The following is a 21,641-nucleotide window of genomic DNA, read 5'->3' as shown; positions in this document are numbered from 1 at the left end:
ACCTGTGGCTACAGAGGTAATCAGGGACTGCTTAGTAGTTCACGGTATCACCTATGTTATACAAGGGCCATGTGATTTTAGCTAAGCTCCTCCCTGTCCCAGGGCCTCCATGTCATCATCTGTGTGGTGGGGAATTGGCTGGATGAACAGTGAAGCTCTGTCCAGCTTTGGGTCTACGGGTTGGAACTAGCGGAGGAGCATCAGGCTCCTCCAGTGGATGCTATTGCTCTGTTGGGATCAGAGCTCGGACCCCAGCTTCAAGTTGCCTGGAGCCCTGGACAAGAGCTGTGGAATGAAGTCTTCCTAACCCTCAGAGGATTGCTTAGCATTGGCCTCAGGCTTATGCAACGAGTGTGTCCTCACTTGGTGGCCTAAGCTGACCCGATACCAGCTTTCTGAGACCTCTTTGGGATTTCTCTCCTCCCCTACCTCTCTGGTGTCCGTGTTGCCTTGGCCCTGCTGTTCATGTCTGAAACAGACATGTGTGGGCCCCACTTCCTTGCTGCCTCACTAAGTCTTAGGCTCAGCACATGTTCTAGGTCCCAGCAGCGGTCTTGGTAGTGCCAAACCTCAGGCTGCACTCTAGGCCTGCTCATGGGTCCTGCAGTTGAGCTGTGGGAGTCTGGCTCCCAGCTCAGTGCCAATCCCCGGGTACAGGGATATCAGGTCACTACCTGTCTGTTGGGAATCTGCCCTTTTCTCTGCCAGAGGGGAGCTACATCACAGCTGAATTCAGAGTCTTTCCTAACTTCTTAGAGTCTCTTTTTAAAGCGGGGTGAGCCTGCCTTTCTCAGCTGCATGATACAGGAGACAGCTATCAGGCTCAGCCACAGGGGAAGGGGATGCTCTCTCTAAGGTGCTGGGTCTCAAACTTGGTTGTACATTGTATTCGCCTGGGGAATTTTTTACACATGTAAAGTGCCTGGTTCAGAGAGTGGTGGTGTACACATGAAAATTTATCCCACACCTCTCAAGGACCAGAAGTGTTTGCACTTGTGACAGATGGACTAAATGTCCTCCGTTTTCAGAGCTGCTCTGCTAGGCTCCTAAGTTCTCAGGAACACCTCTGGTGTCTGTGACTTCCTCATTCTGGAGGCAGAAGCCCCACATCTCCTGAGGATAATCATGTGGACTTGGGGCCCTGTCTCTATATTTCTCAGAATCAGTGTTCTTATATGTGAAACACAAGAGTAGGGCTGTCATTTGAATAATAATTAACTGAATAAAATAGAAAAAAGCATGATATCTAAATAATATTTTATGTGCAGTGTGATTTAAATATGTATTTATAACTAAACTAATATTAAATATTGTTAAGTAGATGTTTGATTATACATAGCTCTAAGAGTTGATATATGCCTTGTCTAAAGTAAAACTTTGTTTTGATATCCTCATTAAAAGATGGAGAATCTCTTTAAAAATAATAAAAAGTCAAGGTTGACACAGCTTGATGGGGTTAGGGACTTTGTGAGGGAAGAGAAGAATTTCTGGACAAAGGTGTTGTGACACAAAGGGAGTGCATGTCCTTTGGATCCACTCTGGGGCCCGCAGCCTCCCTGGGACAGTGCCTGCACCACTGTGATGGTTCTCCACCTCTGCTCTTTGCTGCACAGCCCCTCTTAGAGGGCTAATCTCTTAAATCCAGGATTCCTTTCAACTACGAGCTTGTTCCCTGACTTTCTGACAAGGCTGATAGCCAGGGTGCCATTTGGCTGTCTGTTCCTTCCTATCTTGCCCAAGAGAATATTTTTTTTTTAATTTTTTATTTTTATTTTAATTTTTTTTGGAGACAGAGTCTCACTCTGTTGGCCAGGCTGGAGTGCAGTGGCATAATCTCAGCTCACTGCAAGTTCCGCCTCCTAGCTTCAAGCAATTCTCCTGCCTTGGCCTCCCGAGGCTGGGATTACAGGGTGCCCACCACCACGCCTGACTAATTTTTGTATTTTTAGTAGATACTGGGTTTTTCTATGTTGACCAAGCTGGTCTCGAACTCCTGACCTCAGGTGATCCTCCTGCCTTGGCATTCCAAAATGTTGGGATTACAGGCATGAGCCACCGTGCCTGGCCTCCAGGAAAAAAAAACGTCTGGCTGCTGTAGGCAGAGTAAATGGGTTGGATAATTTGTACTCCCCTGCATTCCTATTCCCTCATTTTAATGGTGTAGAAAGTAAGGTTGAGTGAAAGGGGGTGACTTACCCAAGGTTACATAGTTAGATACTGCCAGCCCTGGGCCTAGAACTCATATTTTTTAATTAAAAGCTTTTCCCAAGCCCCACACCTCTGCTTTCCTTATAAACCTGCACTGGCTTTTTTTCCAGAAAACTTCCAGGTGGCTTCTTACTACTTTCAGTGCTGTGAGTGCAAGGAGTACACATGGAACACACAAACTCCCGAAAAATGCAGTCCTCTGCCAGGCACAGTGGCTCATGCCTGTAATCCCAGCACTTTAGGAGGCTGAGGTGGGTGGATCACTTGAGGTCAGGAGTTCGAGATCAGCCTGGCCAACATGGTGAAACCCTGTCTCTACTAAAAATACAAAAATAGCCAGGCGTAGTGGCAGGTGCCTGTAATCCCAGCTACTCAGGAGGCTGAGGCGGGATAATTGCTTGAACCCAGGAGGCGGAGGTTGCAGTGAGCCGAGATTGTGCCGCTGCAGTCCACCCTGGGTGACAGAGCAAGACTCCACGTCAAAAAAAAACAAAAACAAACAAAAACAAAACAGAAATGCAGTCCTCATTTACCATCATCAACTAGATTCTTAAAAACTGTGATTTTAAGCAAAACAATGTACAGCAGTTCCTTAAGTAAACATCCTTTTGTTATAACATTGATGAAGAAAACTGGTTTCATTATATGTCATCATACTTAAAGTTGCCGTTTCCAAGAACCTACCACTGATGTTAAGTGAGGACTTACTCTATAATTGTTCAATCTGCTAAAAACCAGGTAATATCCTTTAATACCAACTGTGGTTTATTTTTGTGTGCAGACATATGAACAGGTATTTAAAATGCAATGTGATATTCGTTGTACTGGAAGGATGTTCAGGGTGCTGCGGGAACCCAGAAGAGGGACTAATTAACTCATCCCGGGGGAAATTGATCTTGCTGCTCAAAGGTGGAACATTTGAACAGGTATGAAAGGATGAATAGGAGTTTATCTGAAAAGGAGAGGGGCAAGAAAGAGTATTTCAGGAAGAGGAAACAGCATTTTTCACAGACACAGAGTCATGCAAAAGTCTGGTGTATTCAAGAGATAGCAGAGATGTTGGGCATGGCAAAAACACAGGTTGTATGTTAGGCAAAGCTAAAGATGAGATTAGAGAGAGATAAGGTCAATTTACAAGGGGCATTGAATGCCAAGCTGAGGACTTTGGCTTTAAGGCCAAGGGAGCAGAGGATGTGTGATGAGGCCTTGTTTGACCTATTCAGTTCTTTCTCTTTTTTCATTCTGCTCGTGAGGCCATGTTACAATGACTGATGTTTGGGCATCTGGTACCCGGGATGTCTTGTGGAAGTCGTTTTCAACAATTAGAGCAGCATTTCTGTCCTGCTGTAGATGAGGAGGTCACCTCAGGGTGAGCCAAGTGGAAGAGAGGGACAGTAGCCTTATTCCCCTGGATGATGTCACCTGTGGAGAGCATCCTTCTCCACCTCTGGCCATTGTTCTTGACAGGCAGGAGAATATGCAGGACATTCCAGATACAGTCCTGTCATTAACACCCATGGCTCTGCAAAAACTCAGAAAGTTTTTCTTTTCTTTTCTTTTCTTTTTTTTTTTGGTGGGGTGAGGGAGTATTAAACTATTATTTTTCATGATTTTGTGGATTTCTATTTTCCTGGGATGTATCAGTTAGCTTTTACTGCATAACAAGCCACCTCTAAACTTTGTGCTTAAAACAACTAAACTTTATTTATTTTATGATTCTACAGTTTGGCTGTTTGGGCTGGGATTCTCTGGGTAATTCTTCTGGTTTGGCCTGGGCTTAGCTAATTATAACTGTGTTCACTCTTGCACTGTATTCAGCTAGTGGGTTAGTTGGGGCTGGCTGGTCTATGATGGCCTCAGGTGGGATGCCTGAGACAACTGAGAACTTTCTCTGCATGATCTCTCATCTTCCAGCAGTCTCAATGCCAGGTTAGATTTTTCACATGGCACTCTTAAAGTTCTAAGAACAAGAGCAGAATTATATAAGGCCACTGAGGTCTAGGCTTGGAAAACTTGTCACTTTTGCTGCATTCTGTTGGCCAAAGAAAGTCACAAGGTGAGCTTAGATTCAAAGGGCAAAGGGTCCTACCTCTTTTAAAAATTAAAAACTCATCACTGACCTGAAGCTCGTGGAGAGTCTTACCTTTTGATGGTAGGATTGCAAGGGTATGGATGCAGGGAGGGGAAGAATTTGTGGCCATTTTTTGAATCTACCACTCAAACTAACTTTCGTCACCAGAGAGTTGGTAATTGAGTTTATTGCATTACTGTGAATAGGATATGAGGAATCTTTTGAACTCCAAAGTTGACATTCATGGAGGACCATGTGATTTCTGAAGTCTTATCTAATTTAATGTGCACAGCAACTCTTATTTTCCCTATTTTACATATGAAGAAACTGGGGTACAGGGCAATTAAGTGAGATTAAGTGTTTTGCCCAAGGTCATTGGCTGGTAGGCCTGGTATTTTGGACTTACATTTGTCTGACTATAAGTCTGGAGCAACTGCCATCATATCATTCTTTCGTATTTTGAAGAGATGAGACAGAGGAGATTGTAGCGGTACTGCTGCATTCACTGCCATAGCCAACCCCTTTCCAGATCACCCTCATCCCTGGACACAGGTACCTTGCCCTACTCCAGAGGCTCATTTTCTTGTTCCTAGTAGGTTGACTGCCCTTGCGGTGGGCCGGCAGAATCACTGTGGTCTCCAGGGTGGGAGTCTTCTGCTGCTTTTATAGTCCAGAAGCCCACTATGCTGAAGAATATGTTAGAGACTGATGTATTTCTCTGGGGAGAGATTGTAGGTCAAGCTGTTCATAGGTAAAATATACATATATATGATGCATCTAACTTGGTCTATGGGGAGAGAGCCCTCCAAAAGACCTCTGAGCCTCAGAGGCAGACTGACTGGTATATGCTGTACTAAGAGAAAAATACCTCCTAGATGAGCGGGCAGGGAGGCCTTGCCTTTCTCTGACTAAAGCCTTCTGGAGGCTTTAGCTTCGAGATCTTCCAAGTCATCCTGCTATGTGGTAACCTTAATGACCTGGAACTGTGCCCAGACTAAACTGACTCTGGATCTTGGCTAGTGATGGGAGCTGTGCTCTCAGGGATGTGGAATGAGGAATGGGAGCAGCAAGAAGGCACCTGATTGTCAGAACCAAAGCAGCGTTGGGCCTGTAGTAGCATGGTTTATGGGGCAGGGAGGAAGGTAGGACCAGGTAAAGACAAGAATGTGAGGAGACCAGATGGTCTGTAGGGAAGGCCCCAATGGGATGGTCATGTTCAGGGTACCCACATACTAAATGCAGGCTATGGCATCAAGTGTAGTTCATTTTGGCACACATGGGTATTGCCATGTATCTTGGTGTTGTGTATTAGAAAGCCTTATGTCCAGGCCTTAGTTATAATCAGCCATGTTGCCCTGACTCTGCTATCTTTCTTTCTTGCACAGAGCTCATCTCCTGTCCTGGGTGTGAACGAGTATATCTTACCAGGGATGTAACTGAACATTTTTTTCTGCATTGTGTTCCTACTGAGCAACCCAAGATGGCCAGGGTAAGTCAGGACAAGGAAAGAAGCAGCTGATCTTTTTCAGAAATCTGTGAGGCCCCTGTCCATAAGTCTTCTATCCATCCATCACTCTATCATCTGATTTGTTACTTCTCCATCAGTTTTCCTAATCATCCATCCATCCATCTAGAAGAAAATAAAAATGCATGAGTTGGGGGAAACAATGAGGGGGTTTTCTATTAAGTGAAAATTATTGACTTTTTTTTGTGTCAATCCCTTTAGCAGAAGGTGAATGTAAGTTAAGATATATTAAGAGTTGCTTACTGTCTATATAATTATTTTTCTCTCTCTTACAGCTCTTGCTGAAAAATACCAGTACTGGGCTTTTGTTTTATTTTTTTAATCATCCTGAGTTGAAATTCATGTACCAGCCTGGATTAAATGGGTTTATTAACCTTGCCTGTATTTAACAACTATCACCTTTTTCCTGAGTTTCTTAAGGAAATTTTTATCACTTATTGGCCGGCAGCCCTTCTGTTCCTCTTTCCACTAGGGTAAATTAGTAAATTAGTAATTTACTAATTTACTTACTTGTTCCTGTATCTGATTTGTGTTGAATGTCTCACATGTGCCAGACCCTGTGCTGGATATTAGGGAGATCGACCCATATACTCTACATTCAAGGAATTCATAGTTTAATTAGTAGAACTTTCAGAATTCACATCAGTTTGGTGGCCTCTGTGATTCAGACACAGATAGGCCAACTTTTCCAAATCTCCCCTTCTCTTGATGTTTTATAATAGCCCGGGCAAGATATTTGCTTACGAAATGAATGAACATTTGGACTAGGAGAGGCCTAGGTACCCTCAGATCAGGCAGAGCCCAGGTGTGGGAGCACAACTCTGAACGCTGGTCTATACTTGCCCTTCCTTGGTTGCATTTGACCATCTTGCTGTGTACTCCCATATGTGGGCTTTCTCCTCTCTGAAGCACATTGAATTTCCTGCTTTTGCCAGTGCTTTCCCTCTGTTACAACATTTTCCTCCCTTATCTGCCTGGTGAACCTACTTGTCATTCAGTATCCAGCTCAAGTGTTTCCTTTTTGTAAAACCTTTCCTAGCCACTCCTAGACTGAGTTCCAGGAAGGCTTCCTTTGCTTCCTTAGCATGTGTTGCATCCTTTTAATTACAGCATTACTCAGTTAATGTGTACCATCCTGTGTGCTGTGGATAGCATGAGATCAGATCCTTGGCTTACGCATCTGGGTGTCCTTAGCTTCAGCACAGGACTTGTGTGAACAGCCCCTGAGACAGCTGCTGCTGCTGCTCCTCCTCCTCCTCCCTCCCTCCCTCCCTCCTTCCCTTCCTCCTTCCCTTCCTCCTTTTCCTTCTGCTCCTTCCCCTCCTCCTCTCCTCCTCTTCCTCCTCCTCCTTCTTCTTCCTTCTCCTTTGCCTTCTTCCTCATCCTTTTTTGAGACAGGGTCTTCCTCTGTTGCCCAGGCTGGAGTGTAGTGGTACGATCTTGGCTCACTGCAGCCTTGACCTCCTGAGCTCAAGCGATCTTCCCACCTCAGTCTCCCTAGTAGCTGGGACTACAGGCATGTGCCACCACTCCCGGCTAATTTTTGTATTTTTTGTAGAGATGGGGTCTCACTATGTTGCCCAGGCTAGTCTGAAACTCCTGGGCTCAAGCACTCCTCCTGCCTTGGCCTCCCAAAGTACTGGGGTTACAGGTGTGAGCCACCATACCTGAAGTAGCCACTGTTCTTTTGGTTACAAAGGATGCTTCCTTCCACAAGCCCCGGCATGTTACTCCCAGACAGCTCTGCAGAATAGGTTACACTCCAAACTGGTGGAGGAATAGGCCTGCAGGACCCCTGTCTTTAGAGCATTTACCACTTGTGGAGGCAGACACAAATGAGGATAACATCAGTAACTCCAGAACTCTCTGCTTCCAGAACTGCTCTGAGTGCAAGGAGAAGAGGGCAGCACATATCCTCTGCACCTACTGCAATCGCTGGCTGTGCAGCTCTTGCACAGAGGAACACCGACACAGCCCTGTCCCCGGGGGCCCATTCTTTCCTCGGGCCCAGAAGGGATCTCCAGGTACCAATCCCACCTCTCCCTGCCCACTCCCATGCCCTAAAGCAGGGCTGAACCCTAAGATCCCTGGAGAATAGCTCTCCGATCTTGTTTTCTTGCTGGGGGAGAAGGTAGGGACAGTCTCAGAGCCTTTCCCAAAGGAAGTCTCCTTCAGAGTCAAAGGGGTGACTCACTCTCGTCCCTCCCTGTTGATGGTGGGGGTGGATGAGTGTGGATGAAATGGTATAGAGAGGAAAGTGTTGAATTATTGTGGAAGCTGGCTGAGCTCCCTGCCTTTCCCCTCTAGAGTAATCATGTTACCCTTCTAATTTATTTACTTGATTAACTTAGTCTGGATTAGGGCTTGTTTGTTTGTCTACCCAGCACCATCTGTTTTATTTTTATTTTTATTTTTATTTTTTTTTGAGATGGAGTCTCACTCTGTCACCCAGGCTGGGGTGCGGTGGCATGATCTCGGCTCACTACAACCTCCACCTCCTGGGTTCAAGCGATTCTCCTGCTTCAGCCTCCCAAGTAGCTGGGATTACAGGCATGCGCCACCGCGCCCAGCTAATGTTTGTAGTTTTAGTAGAGATGGGGTTTCGCCATGTTGGCCAGGCTGGTCTTGAACCCCTGACCTCAGGTGATCCGCCCACCTTGGCCTCCCAAAGTGCTGCGATTACAGGCGTGAGCCACTGCGCCCAGCCACCATCTGTTTTAAATGACAATCTTCTTGAAAGTCTTTTCTCAAGGCCCTTGAATTGTGGGAGGGGTTCTACAACTGTCAAATCCACAGGAACCAGAGTTCATGATCCACGTGATCTAGCCTGGAGCCTGGCAAGGCTGGATAGCTGGTTTCAGCTCCATTAAAAACAGAATCCTGATTAATGAACAGGTTAAGGTTAATTGTGAAGGATTCATTATTTTGCAGGAGATCTATGTGGAGTAGTAGCAAGCGCCTTCCTCAGCCTCTGGCAGGTAGTGGGATGCTTGGGCTTGATGGTGTGCTATTTCTGGACAACTGGGCAAATCCAGCCAAGCTCAGCCCAAAATCCTCCTTGTGCCCCTGGAGAGTCATCTCCTGTTTATAACACTTCCCCCGAGCTCTGTATTTCTGCAGTGTCCTCTGAAGGCTGAGAGCTGTGCAGCAAAGCTTAACTGAGAGGTTTGTCTACCTGAGCAAGAGAAGCTCACTTTCTCTGTCTTCTCTGGCAGGAGTGAATGGTGGTCCCGGAGACTTCACCTTGTATTGTCCTCTACACACACAGGAAGTACTCAAGCTATTCTGTGAGACATGTGATATGCTCACTTGCCATAGCTGCCTAGTGGTGGAACACAAAGAACACAGGTGGGGCTGACAGACTGCCTGAAATGGGCTGGGGAGGGCTCTGGATTTCTTACTTGTGAGAGCTCTGGGAATCCCCGTGCATCAGAATCTTCTCCCTGCCCAAGCCAACCTGCAGCCCCTGGGCTGAAGTTTTTCTCTGCTCCTGTTGTAGGACTTCCCTGGAAAAGGCCTAATGGGCCAAGAGCCTGTGGTGCCTTAGACTTTCCCTAGAAGTCATCACAGCTTCCATGGGTCTGGCTGAGACAGTTCCCTGTGGAGATTCCCGCTTGGTTGGCATGCTCAAAGTAGGACTCAGCCCTTCTCAGCTTTTTCTCTGCCTCATCCCCTAGGTGCAGACATGTTGAAGAAGTTTTGCAAAACCAGAGGATGCTTCTGGAAGGTGTGACTACACAGGTGGCACATAAGAAATCCAGTCTACAGACATCTGCAAAGCAAATTGAGGACAGGTAGCACAGGCTAGTGCCTTGCCAGTGCTGGAAATGCTCTGTTCCCGCACACCCAGGGTTCCAACACCAGGCCGTCAGATGTAGTGCCTGTGAAGAGGAACTGTGGTTAAGCAGATGTGGGCATATGTCCTAGAAGGCATATGTCTTGGCCTTTGAGGTCTCAGGGCCAGGGAGGGGTCATTAAGTCATCCCTTGGTGGCTGAGACCAAGCTAGGTCAGGATGATCAGAGTGAGTCTGGGTCAAAGAATATGCCTTATGAACTAGCCAGAAGTCGGTGCTTGAGAACAAGGGTACCAAGCAGACACTAGGGAAGAGAGTGCTGCTTATTATGAGGGTGGAACAAACCAGGGGCAATCTGTGCTTTATCACCCCTTTCCCTGTGTGTTCTCTGTAAATCTACAAGTCACATGAAATCATTGGTATTTTACATAGGAAGAGGAAGTGGTAGGTGCTGAGAGCACCTCATGTGTCAGGCACTGGGTTGGGTATCATATATGCATTATTTTGTTCAGTTCTTGCCATTCTTTCAGTTAGCGATTTTCTCCATTTTACTGATGAGGAGACTGAGGTTCATAGAGGTTTGGTAACTCATCTGAGATCACACAACTAGCCAGTGACTGTGCTGGGTTTAGATGGTAGGTCTGTGGTGACTTCAATGCCCATGCTTTTTAAATTTTTAAAAATAGCTTTACTGAGATATAATCTACGTATCATAAAATTATTCTTTTTAAATGTATAATTCAGTGGCCTTTAGTATATTCACAGAATTGTGCAACTGTACATAATTACTGTCTACGTTTAAAACATTTTCATCCCCCCAAAAAGAAGCCACATTAATATAAACATTATTATATGTTTATAATAAACATTATATTATATGTTTATTGTTTATTATATAATTATATGTTTATTATTGTTTATTATATAATATGTTTATTATATAATATGTTATTATGCCAATAATATAAACATTATTAGTCACTCTCCATTCCCCCAACACCCCCCGGCCCTCAGAAACTACTGAGGCAGTATGCATTCTGCCTCTTTTTACCTCATGGCGACATTTATTGGAGCATCCTCCTTTTAAACACAACAAATTACAGTAAATTATTCCCATACTTTCTCTTTTGGTCCTACCTCTAGTGCTGTGTCAACTGGTGGGCTACTGGGTTGACCTTGGTGTAGACTTGAGGTTTACCTAGAGAAAACCAAGCTGAACTTTGATCAAGTGGGGCTTTGTACAAAAGGTGGGATGGTGGAGGAAGGCTCTCTTTTTTTTGTATTTGGTGTCTGCTAGGCCCTGATCTCAGTAGGCAGCCTCCAAGTTGGTTCTTATGTTTGCTGTCTCTTCGTCTTCATATAGTCCATGAGGAAAGCTTACCATGGTTTGTCCCATTGTGTTTACAGGATTTTTGAAGTGAAGCATCAGCATAGGAAGGTGGAAAACCAGATCAAAATGGCCAAGATGGTTCTGATGAATGAGCTGAACAAACAGGCCAATGGGCTAATAGAGGAATTAGAGGTATGTATAGACAGATGGATCAGATGGTTGGGTTCAGAAACCATCCATATATCAAGCTAGTCCCAGGACCTAGGGAAGCCTAGGCTGTAATTCAGATATGCAGCTTCCATAGCTCTGTGCTGCTCCCTGTATTTTAAAATGTCAGCCTAATTTTGGGAGGGTGGCTCATTAAGGGCTAGAAAATCAGTTCAAACTGATTTTTGATGCTATGTCTCTTAGGCAGCTTCCATCCTTAACTGCTCAGGGTTATAGTCTTGGAAGAGAAAGTCATGAAACAAACCACCTTCTTCACCAATTTATGCCCAAGAGATGTAGACATTTATTCATTTCCTCTTTCATTTATTACCCATTCCATATTTGCACTATAAAATCTCCCACCATCTCCCCCTCCCCTTTTCCATCAGCCAGCATCCCATGGCAACACTCTGCCCTGCTGTCCTCTCAGGGGTGTAGTCTCATCTGATTCCATCAGTGACACACACAAGCCACCAGACTTCCCAAGCAGGTGGATTACAGTCCAGTAACAGGATCAAGGACTCTGTCTTCTCTCTGTACCCAGGGGATTACTAATGAGAGAAAGCGGAAGCTGGAACAGCAGTTACAGAGCATCATGGTTCTCAACCGTCAGTTTGAGCATGTGCAGAATTTCATCAACTGGGCTGTCTGCAGCAAAACCAGTGTCCCTTTTCTTTTCAGCAAAGAGCTGGTAAGAGGAATCTCCCAACTCCTCAGCCTGTCCTTGAAGCTTATCAGAGCATCCCCTTTGTCAGAGGGGCAATGAGGCAGTCCTTGGAAGTGCCTTTTCTTTTTAGGATGGAAGGAGGAATAACATAGCAGCTCCATCCATCCTTCAAATTCAATCACTGCTTTTGGGTTAGTAAGTAAACACCATCTTTTACCAAATCCCATAGTGCAAAGAGGACACAGGTGCTGAAATGGTCCTGCCCTCCCAAAGGTAGCTCAGTTGGGAAAGTCTGTAGTTCTTTGTCATAGGTAATTGATTCAGACATTACCCTGGACATGAGCAGTGTGCTGGGCATCTCATAGAAAGTTACTGGGGTTTACACGGGGGTCTGAGAGAAAAGGAGTTGGAGATAAGGTTGAAGTATTAGGCTTGAGAGGACGGCAGCACCCAGGAGAGGGAGCAAGAATTTTGAGAGAAGTCGATGGAGTTTATATTTGAATACTTTGAATCTAAGGTGCCTGTAGTGCATCCAAAACCAACTCCAAGCTACCTACCATTAAAAAGCCGTTTTAATATATGGGTGTGGAAGTCAGAAGAAAAGTTGGTTTTGGAGAAGGAGATGTAGGAGTCACCAGGAAATCAGTGGTATCACCTTGGAAGAGTGTGTGGAGCAAGAAGAGAGAAAGTCAGGAACCCAGGGAATACCGTCATTTTCAGCATAGACAGAGGAAGATGATGACTGGAGGAGAGTGAGAAGCAGTGGTCAGAGGTGAGAAGCAATGGTCAGAGGTTAGAAGCAAAACAGAGTGTGGTACACAGAAATGAACAGTTTCCAATTTTAAGTGGTCCATTTGACAATGCTGCATGGGTGAAAGAAGATGAATAGTGACGAGCAGCCTCTGGATCTGGGAATCAGGCTATCTTCTGAAAGAAGCTCCAGTGAAGTAGAAGGGTCAAAAGCTAGAATGAGGAGACTGAGGATGGGTGGTGACGAAGTAGAGACAGAAGTGAAAAGAAGAAAAATAAAAACATAGCCTGAGAAGATGGCAGAGTTGGGGGAAACTTTTTTTTAAGCTTGGAAAACATTTGCACACATGTATATGGGAGAAGAGGTTGAAGATAGAGAGGAGGGGTGTGTGGTGGGGTAAGTACACTGAGAAAGCAGGAGGAAGGATATAGAGTGAACTGGTTGACCTTAAACACAAGGACAGTCCCTTCGTCTGAGATGGGAGGACAGGAAGGGGACAATGCTGTAGTTAAGTTTGAGGGTAGAAGGGATACAAGTTGGGGTAATTTATCCTTTATGGTGTCTTTTTTTTCTCTGTGAAATAGGAGGTGATAATAAGAGGGTTAAAACATTGGTAAGTAGCACCAAAGTAAAGATTTTAAATGGTCATTGAGTGCAGTGGAAGAGAAAGATGACAAGAAAAGAAGTGACAAGAGAAAGGGCTGAGGGGTGCTGCTGAAATTCATAATCACTGAAGTGGCCCCAGATAACATGGCTTTGGTATGGCTGGATTACCTAAGAGTAGGAGTTGGCGATGGGGAGGGAATTAGGACACTAGTGATATCATGACTGTAAATGAAAGGAAGCTGGGAAGTCCTGTGGACTGAAGGAGCAGGGCTTGGAGAGGTTGAACAACATACTCTGAAAGAGCATGAACTTGTTATGACCAGGGTGGGTTGTTGGAGTTTAAAGGTCTCATAGGTAGAATGGTTGTAAATGATGAATAGGGTCTAGGTATGGTGACTAAACTGAAAACAAGGTGGTTGCCATGCAAGAGATCAATGAAATGAGAGGCTAAGATGTTCGTTGGGACATTAGTTAACTAGAGGATAGCAGGGTAAGTTGGACACTTGCCAAAGCCCTGGATAAATAGGAGAGTTAGTGATGAGAAATAGATGAAAGTGTTGGGAGAGGAAGAGGGCTATTGAGTAGGACAGAAGGGTGTTTTACCTGCAAGTGGAAGTACAGCAATGGGGAGCTCAGACAATGCCTGCCCCCACTAGGCTTTTAAATTGAGGTGATGGTAGAATGAATGGAGCTGCCAGTCAACGATGTAGTGAGGGAGAATGACAAATCACTTAAGGCCTGAAAAGATAAGAATGTAGGGGTTCCAGGCCAGGTGCGGTGGCTCACGCCTGTAATTCCAGCACTTTGGGAGGCCGAGGTGGGCAGATCACGAGGTCAGGAGATCGAGACCATCCTGGCTAACACAGTGAAACCCCGTCTCTACTAAACAAAATACAAAAAATTAGCTGGGCGTGGTGGCGGGCACCTGTAGTCCTAGCTACTCAGGAGGCTGAGGCAGGAGAATGGCGTGAACCTGGGAGGCAAAGCTTGCAGTGAGCTAAGATCGCGCCACTGCACTCCAGCCTGGGCAACAGAGTGAGACCCCGTCTCAATTAAAAAAAAAAAAAAAAGAATGTAGGTTCCAGGAGCCTTGATAAGAGGAAAGGGATCAGCTGGGAGGATGGACAGGTGCTAAGGTGCAAGAGAATGAGAATATGGAGGATGACCAGAGGTTAAAGGGCCATGACTTTGAGCCTTTCAGCTTGTCCAAAGAGTAAGGGAAGGGGAGTTGTCATTTAGGTGCAAGATGCCCAAATAAATGACCTTTGGTGCTGTTGTCAGATTGTGTTTCAGATGCAGCGATTGCTGGAGACAAGTTGTAACACAGATCCTGGCTCCCCTTGGAGTATCAGATTCACCTGGGAGCCTAACTTCTGGACCAAGCAGCTAGCTTCTCTTGGTGAGCTTGGACCCACCCACCCAGGCCTACCCACCCTGTGGGCTTTGACTTAATTGCTTACCTTACTGGGTAGGTCAGCATATGCCCAAGAGAAAGCACTCTCTGGGACTGCCAGTGGTCATGGAATCATTCAGCAAACCTTTTTTTTTTTTTTTTTTTTTTTTTGAGGGGGAAGAGGAGAGGATGAGGAATTAAATAACAGTGGCAATATAGGACTTTGTATCAGGATGAGTTGAAATCTGAGTTTACCATTCTGTGTAAATGTCCTGTTACATTGGTTTTATTGCTGAGGAGGAGACAAGACAGTCACCCTGCTCTCCGGAATGCTGTATGGCAGTACAGATGAATGTGTGTCTCTGTGGTCACACAAAGGTATACACGTGTGGGCACAAGCAGGGGTATCTCAGCAACAGTGAGACTGCGTGTGCATGTTTGTGTCACACAGACATATCCTTTCGAGTTGAGATGTAAGCAGATAATTCATGGCCTTGTGCATTTTTCTTCCCTGCTGCAATCATTTGCTGGCATTCAGTCTTTAGGCAGAATGTAGACAGCTTGAAGTTGTGCCTGTGTTGACAGCCTAACGAGTGTTAAACTGATGGCCAGCTGCTGCCTTCATTTGAGGCTGTTAATCTTATTGAAAATTTGTTGAACTTGGCAAAGTGACAAATGATATGTAGGTTTATTTCTTTTCTTCCCTCTTTCCTTTGATTTAACTCAGCAGACCTTTGATGGCCACCTACTCTTGTTTAGGCCCCATGCTGAGCACCAAAGAACCAATGGTGAATAAAACACATTTTCCTTAAGGAGCTCAGACTTCTTCTAAGTAAGTCTCACCAAAATAATGAGAGGAAGGAGTCATTAGACTGAGTTAGCCATAGATCTACTTGTGCACAAGGGACCTAGAGGCCTCAGGGGGCAGTGCCGGTGCCTGGCACTGACCTGGTGTATTAGTCCATTCTCGCATTATTGTGAAGAAATACCTGAGACTGGGTAATTTATAAAGAAAAGAGGTTTAATTGGCTCATGATTCTGCAGGATGTACAGGAAGCATGATCCTGGAACCTGCTCGGCTTCTGGGGAGGCCTCAGGAAACTTACAATCATGACAGAAGGTGAAGACGCACATCACATGGACAGAGCAGCAAGAAACAGAGCAAGGGGGAGGTGTTACACACTTTAAAGAAATCAGGTCTCACGAGACCTCTATCACAAGAACAGCACCAAAGGGACGGTGCTAAACCACTCATGAGGGATCCGCCCCCACGATCCAGTCACCTCCCACCAGGCCCCACCTCCAACACTGGGGATTACAATTCAACATGAGATTTGGGCGGGGACACAGCTCCAAACTGTATCACCTGGTATTAGAGCTTCCCCACTCTCTTCCGTCCTACTTGCTCAACACACAGTTCCCCACACCTGTATCTGGGAACTTGTTCATTGGTCCCAGGCATGGCTCTCTACCCTTTGCTACTTTCTAGCATACTCCCTCCCAACCCCAAAGTTGATTCTTTTTGTGAGAGTCTGATTGGGCTGTTCTGTTGGAAAAAAATGAGTGGGTGCTATTTGAGAGAGCTTGTGGTTTCCCTAGTGGGACAGAAACAGAGTCAGGGCTGAGCATCTGGTAAAAGCTGAACTAATTTCTCAAATATCCTAGGCCCCCAAAGCAGGTGCATACAGGTGCTATTACTGGCAGCATTCTAGACCGAGTCTAGGAGATCAAGGGTTGAGTTTCTTAATCTCTGTTCCTGGTACAGGATTGTTGAATGAGGTTCTTTTGTCCCAGGAGCAGGAAGTAGCAAGGTGGGAGCAACTTGAAAAACTTTTGAAAAACTCTCTATTCTGCATTTTCAGGCTGCATAACTACTGAAGGTGGACAAATGTCCAGGGCAGATGCTCCTGCTTATGGAGGCTTACAGGGGTCATCACCCTTTTATCAAAGCCACCAGTCTCCAGTGGCTCAGCAAGAGGCTCTTAGCCACCCCTCACACAAGTTCCAGTCTCCAGCAGTGTGCTCCTCATCTGTGTGCTGCTCCCACTGCTCCCCAGTCTCGCCTTCCCTCAAAGGCCAGGTCCCCCCACCCAGCATACACCCAGCCCACAGCTTCAGGCAGCCCCCTGAGATGGTGCCCCAGCAGCTGGGGTCTCTGCAGTGCTCTGCCCTGCTGCCCAGGGAGAAAGAGCTGGCCTGCAGCCCTCATCCACCAAAGCTGCTGCAGCCCTGGCTGGAAACCCAGCCCCCCGTGGAGCAGGAGAGCACATCCCAGCGGCTGGGGCAGCAGCTGACTTCCCAGCCCGTGTGCATTGTCCCCCCACAGGATGTTCAGCAAGGAGCCCATGCCCAGCCCACCTTACAGACACCCTCTATCCAAGTCCAGTTTGGCCACCACCAGAAGCTGAAGCTCAGTCACTTTCAGCAGCAGCCACAGCAGCAGCTACCACCTCCACCACCACCCCTCCCCCATCCCCCACCTCCCCTTCCCCCTCCCCCACAGCAGCCACACCCACCTCTTCCTCCATCCCAGCATCTGGCTTCTAGTCAGCACGAGAGCCCTCCTGGCCCTGCCTGTTCTCAGAACATGGACATAATGCATCACAAGTTTGAGCTGGAGGAAATGCAGAAGGACTTGGAGCTTCTTCTCCAGGCTCAACAGCCCAGCCTGCAACTGAGTCAGACCAAATCTCCTCAGCATCTTCAGCAAACCATTGTGGGGCAGATCAACTACATCGTGAGGCAGCCAGCACCTGTCCAGTCCCAGAGCCAGGAGGAGACCCTGCAGGTAAGCGTCAGGGTGGCTTGGCGTGCATATTCTGCCCATCGTAGGATCACTCAGGGAACACAGCCTCCCCAAAAACAAGGCAGCACAGGAATACAGTTTCTGCACCTTAGGGCTGCCTTGAGCTCAGCCCTCACATTTCAAAACTATGCTGGGCTCAACCTCCCACCTCAGAAAAGCTCCAGAGAGCATAGTACCCAGTCCCAAATTAGATTTAGGCTCAGTATACTCCGGAGTAGCTTGGCTTAGCCCTGTCTTCCTGGATGACAGTAGGGACCCTGCCCACCGATGGTACCTTCTGAGCTGTGCTGAACTCCTGCCAGTGCCAGAGCAGAAGAGAGGCTGTCTCTTATCTTGTCATCTCCCTAGCTCCCTTGCCGGACCTTATGAATCCCAGACAGGGGGAGGGCAGAGCTTAAGGAGCAGAGTGAGGGTCCATGTTAGATGCTGGCAGGCAGCACTTTTATAATACTGCACAGATATAGACTTAAACTTTTTTACTTCTACTAAGCTGGGTATGTTTTATATGCACCATATCATTTATCCTACCAACAATGTTGTTTGGTAGGCATTACCATCTCTGCTTTATAGGTATATAAGTGGGAGCTAGAGAAGGCTAGCAGTTTGTCTCCATATCATACAACATTGAGAGATAGAGCTAAGACTTGGATTCAGGTCTGCTGACATTTCTGTAATGCCACAGAAGTCTTCTTTCCACAGGAGGATATTGGATGGTGCACCTCTTTTTTCTCAGCTAAAAGACAGTTGAAACAGTTGAAGAGGTGCAGTTTGTACCCCTGGGATCTTTGCTACATTTCACATCTTCATTCTTAGCTCTTGATTTTCTTTTTCTTCCCCCCAGAACCTCCTGTTCTATCCTCTTTTCTCTACCCTTCTCTCACTTTTTCTATAGTGGTATCCCCTTTAAATCTGTAATCACAGTTATATCTTCAAAGCAGCTTTACAGATTTTTACTTTATTATAGAATATAAGGCCTCACATTTACGCTTCAGTACTGACAACTTCAGATCATGCTTCAATGTCTTCCCCTGAGGCCCAGTTCTTTTGAGGAGATATAGAATAATCCATGTGATGGCAGAGAAGGGTCTAGGGTTCATAGAGGGCCACAAGCTAAAATGTAAGTCAAAACTAGGTTATGATTGCTAAAGTGAATATCACAAAATTAGCTCAGAATTCTTGGTTTGGGTTTCATCCTAAGACATTCCCATTAGCGTGTAGTCTTTGGAAGAGTTGGGATAAGAGTATTTTTCTTTTTGGAAAACGTTTAAGCAGTCCACAATGTGCAAGTGGTGATGATGCACATGGCAGGGTGAGCACTAGCCTTTGCTGCCACTGCTGCTGCTGCTACGCTGTCTGCAGTAAAACCCACCCAAGTTCTTATTTTCTTCTCCAGGCTACAGATGAGCCCCCAGCATCTCAGGGCTCAAAGCCGGCTCTCCCTCTTGACAAGAATACTGCTGCTGCCTTGCCCCAGGCGTCTGGGGAAGAAACCCCTCTCAGTGTCCCCCCAGTGGACAGCACCATCCAGCACTCCTCTCCAAATGTGGTGAGAAAGGTACTGAAGGAGCCTGTTTTCCCTAACTACATGGGACCCACTGCCAGCCAAGACCCCAGGCACTTGGAGGAGGAGGATAGGGTGGGGGGAGGAGCGTCCCTGTTCCATCCCTGGACGCTACACAGCCCTGATTCATGCCTTCTGCCGTAGTGAGTCAGCAACCTAGATCTTCCTCCTCCCCATTTCCACTCCCCCACGCACACTTAAAATGGGACCTCCTGGGCTTCATGCAGAGTGGAAGGAGGAAGGGAAAGAGAGCCAATTTATTGAACATGTACTCTGTGCTTGGAACCGTGTGTGCTGCTTCACCAGCATTATCTCACCTCACCTCCAACATTTGTGGAAGTGAGCATCCCCATTGTACAGCTAAGGAAACTGAAGTCCAGGGCCTTACAGCTAGTAGACGAGAGAGCTGAGGTTTATTTAAAATGAGATCAGTTAGAATCCAAAGCTTGAACTTTTCTGTCCACAGTGAAGATGGGGAAAATATTTTTTGTGGCCTCCACAACCCAGAGTTGGATACCTTAGGATTTGAATCAATGGAATTTGTTGGGTGAGTGATCTGCAGGGATGTTCTACAGAGGTAGATGAGCAGCTGAGACACAGAGATCTCTTGAAGATGAGCTCTTGGAGGCCTTTCTGTCCACCCACCTACTAGCTTACTGAAAGTGTTCGCTTACCCTGGACATAACCCAGAACCCCACAAATCCTCAACTATCTATTCTCACCTCTGCCCCTTCACCCCCAACCCCTGTCATACATCTAGCTGGAGCCTCAGTGCTGTGCCTGTCCTCCACCCATTCCTCCTAGTGTCCCTTGGCCCTGTTTCACTTACGCTATTGTCTTCTCTGGCCTGGTGCCCTCAGCTCTCCAGTGCCTCCACCCAGCCCTGGACTTGAAGCTCTGTCAGGTGTTCTGAACTCTCCCAGCCTGTACCCTTGGCCCTGTAGCATCCCTCTGGCCCTGCAGCCCAGCTATGCTGGTTGCTCAGTGTACCTGCCCCTCACCAAGTTTCCCTAGCTCTGTACCATTGCAATGCATGTCTTAGAACAGTCAGTCTCCGTGACACTTGAGGAGAGTTTAGAAAAAAGAAGGGATGGCAAAAATGAAATGTCAGCTTGGAAATTGCTGGTGACTTTTGAGGCTTTTTGTCTGTGCCTGTCCTACCCTGTTGAAAATGACTTGGCATAGAGGCCCTTGAGGTACTGTATATTGGCCCTTTGTGGCTCTTAGATGTTTAACTTCTTGTATTTGGGCCAGCCACCTAACCATTCATCCATTTATTTAATCATTTAATGCATATATATAATGCATATATATATATATATATATGCATTAAATGATTATATCTATATCTATATCTGAGTATGTGCCCCATATTCTACTAGGTGCCAGGCATACATTGGTGAATAAGATAGTCGGTCCCATGCTGGAGAGTACAGTCTGGTGGAAGAGACAGTTAATCAACAATAATAAATTGTGGTAAAGTGCTATAATAGTCATTGGGGTACACCCCATTGGAGCACCTAGCTCTGGGAGAGGGGGCTGTTGACAGAAGACTTCTTAGGGGACATTATTTTAAGCTGAAATTTTGAAAAGGAGAAGTTGGGCTAGTGAAGGGTAGAGGGGTAGAACAAATAGTCAAAAGGAATGGCAACTAGGGAGCTTCAGAAGTGAGAGAAAGCCTGGGGCAGTTAGGGGGGCTTCAGATAATTTGTAATTTGGCTTGATAGGATCACGAGATGCACTGGGGAATGGGATGGATTGAAACCAGAGGGGCTGTAAGGCCTTCTAAATTATGCTTTGGAACTGGGATTCAGTCTTGGGGGATGTGAGGAGTAAGTGAAGGACTTCCAGAAAGGAGGGATATGGTTTGAATTAAGTTTGAAAGACCACTTTAGCTGTGGTAAGGGAGACCAGAATAGTACAGAGGAGAAACAGGAGGATGAATGAAATCAATAGCAATAGGAATGGAGAGGAAGCAAAGATTTCAAGAGATATCAGATCACAGGAGTTTTGGCCTCAGTGTCTAATTGATGATAGGTAAGGCAGAGAAAGCCCTTTGGCTTAACACCCAGGTGTTTTCCCATGCTCCCATCCCAGTGGATCTGTCTTGACCCACTGGAATGGGAGCATGGGAAAAAGAGCATATTTAGGGGAAGAAGTTAAGTTTTGAATTATTGCTATTCTTTTGTGGAATACACATTAGAAGATGACCTGAAGGCAGCTAGCTCTAGATGTCAGTAGTTCAGAAGCAAGCATGAGAGTTGCTGTAACCGCCTGATGGGTTCTTCTTGCCTGCTGCACAAGTGAAGACCATGGCATTGCAGTAGAGAAAGAGTTTAGTTGATGAGAGGCTGGGATTTTTCAAAGGCAGTTTGGGGAAGGGGTGGGGGTGGCTAGAAATAGGTGCTTGCTGCTGATTGGTTGGGATGGAGATGAAATCATGCGTTAAAGCTGTCCATTTGAGCTGAGTTGCTTCTGGGTGGGGCCACAGGAGTGGGATTGATGGATCTGGGTGAAGCCATGGATGTCAGACATGCAGAAAAGTTGAGAAGATATCTCAAAAGGCCAGTCTACAATAGGCCCAGGAATGATTACGGGAAAGGCAAGGGGTGGGAGTGGGTAAGTTAGATCAGATCTTTTTCACTGTCATAATTTGCTCATTGATATAATTTTTGCAAAGGTGGTTTCATTGCCAGTGCTCAGTTGTAGTGGAAGCCATGC

General features: G+C 46.2%; 1 protein-coding gene across 36 annotated transcripts in view; it reads left to right on the top strand.

Annotated features, from left to right (window-relative positions):
* Nucleotides 1-21,641, top strand: part of TRIM66 (tripartite motif containing 66) — a 71,192-nt gene that overhangs the window by 25,664 nt on the left and 23,887 nt on the right. For 24 of the 36 annotated variants that reach the window (XR_930930.2, XR_930929.2, XM_017018629.2 and 21 more), the window contains 9 exons: nucleotides 5,665-5,768; nucleotides 7,681-7,828; nucleotides 9,020-9,152; nucleotides 9,482-9,598; nucleotides 11,007-11,121; nucleotides 11,681-11,827; nucleotides 14,442-14,559; nucleotides 16,416-17,341; nucleotides 18,753-18,914. Coding sequence is in view for 33 of the 36 variants with exons in the window: in XM_017018629.2 (XP_016874118.1) it covers nucleotides 5,665-5,768; nucleotides 7,681-7,828; nucleotides 9,020-9,152; nucleotides 9,482-9,598; nucleotides 11,007-11,121; nucleotides 11,681-11,827; nucleotides 14,442-14,559; nucleotides 16,416-17,341; nucleotides 18,753-18,914 (1,970 nt within the window). In the remaining 3 variants the exon portion in view is untranslated. Of the gene's footprint in view, nucleotides 1-2,007; nucleotides 2,460-2,989; nucleotides 5,769-7,680; nucleotides 7,829-9,019; nucleotides 9,153-9,481; nucleotides 9,599-11,006; nucleotides 11,122-11,680; nucleotides 11,828-14,441; nucleotides 14,560-14,727; nucleotides 14,932-16,415; nucleotides 17,342-18,752; nucleotides 18,915-19,386; nucleotides 19,468-21,641 lie in introns of those variants that run through there. The other 12 variants (XM_011520516.1, XM_011520515.1, XM_011520517.3 and 9 more) reach the window with 8 other exon arrangements.

Source organism: Homo sapiens, chromosome 11 (assembly GCF_000001405.40).
Source record: "Homo sapiens chromosome 11, GRCh38.p14 Primary Assembly".
Lineage (NCBI taxonomy): Eukaryota > Metazoa > Chordata > Mammalia > Primates > Hominidae > Homo > Homo sapiens.
The sequence above is the reverse complement of the archived record's forward strand: the minus strand, read 5'-3'. Positions and strand labels throughout refer to the sequence as shown.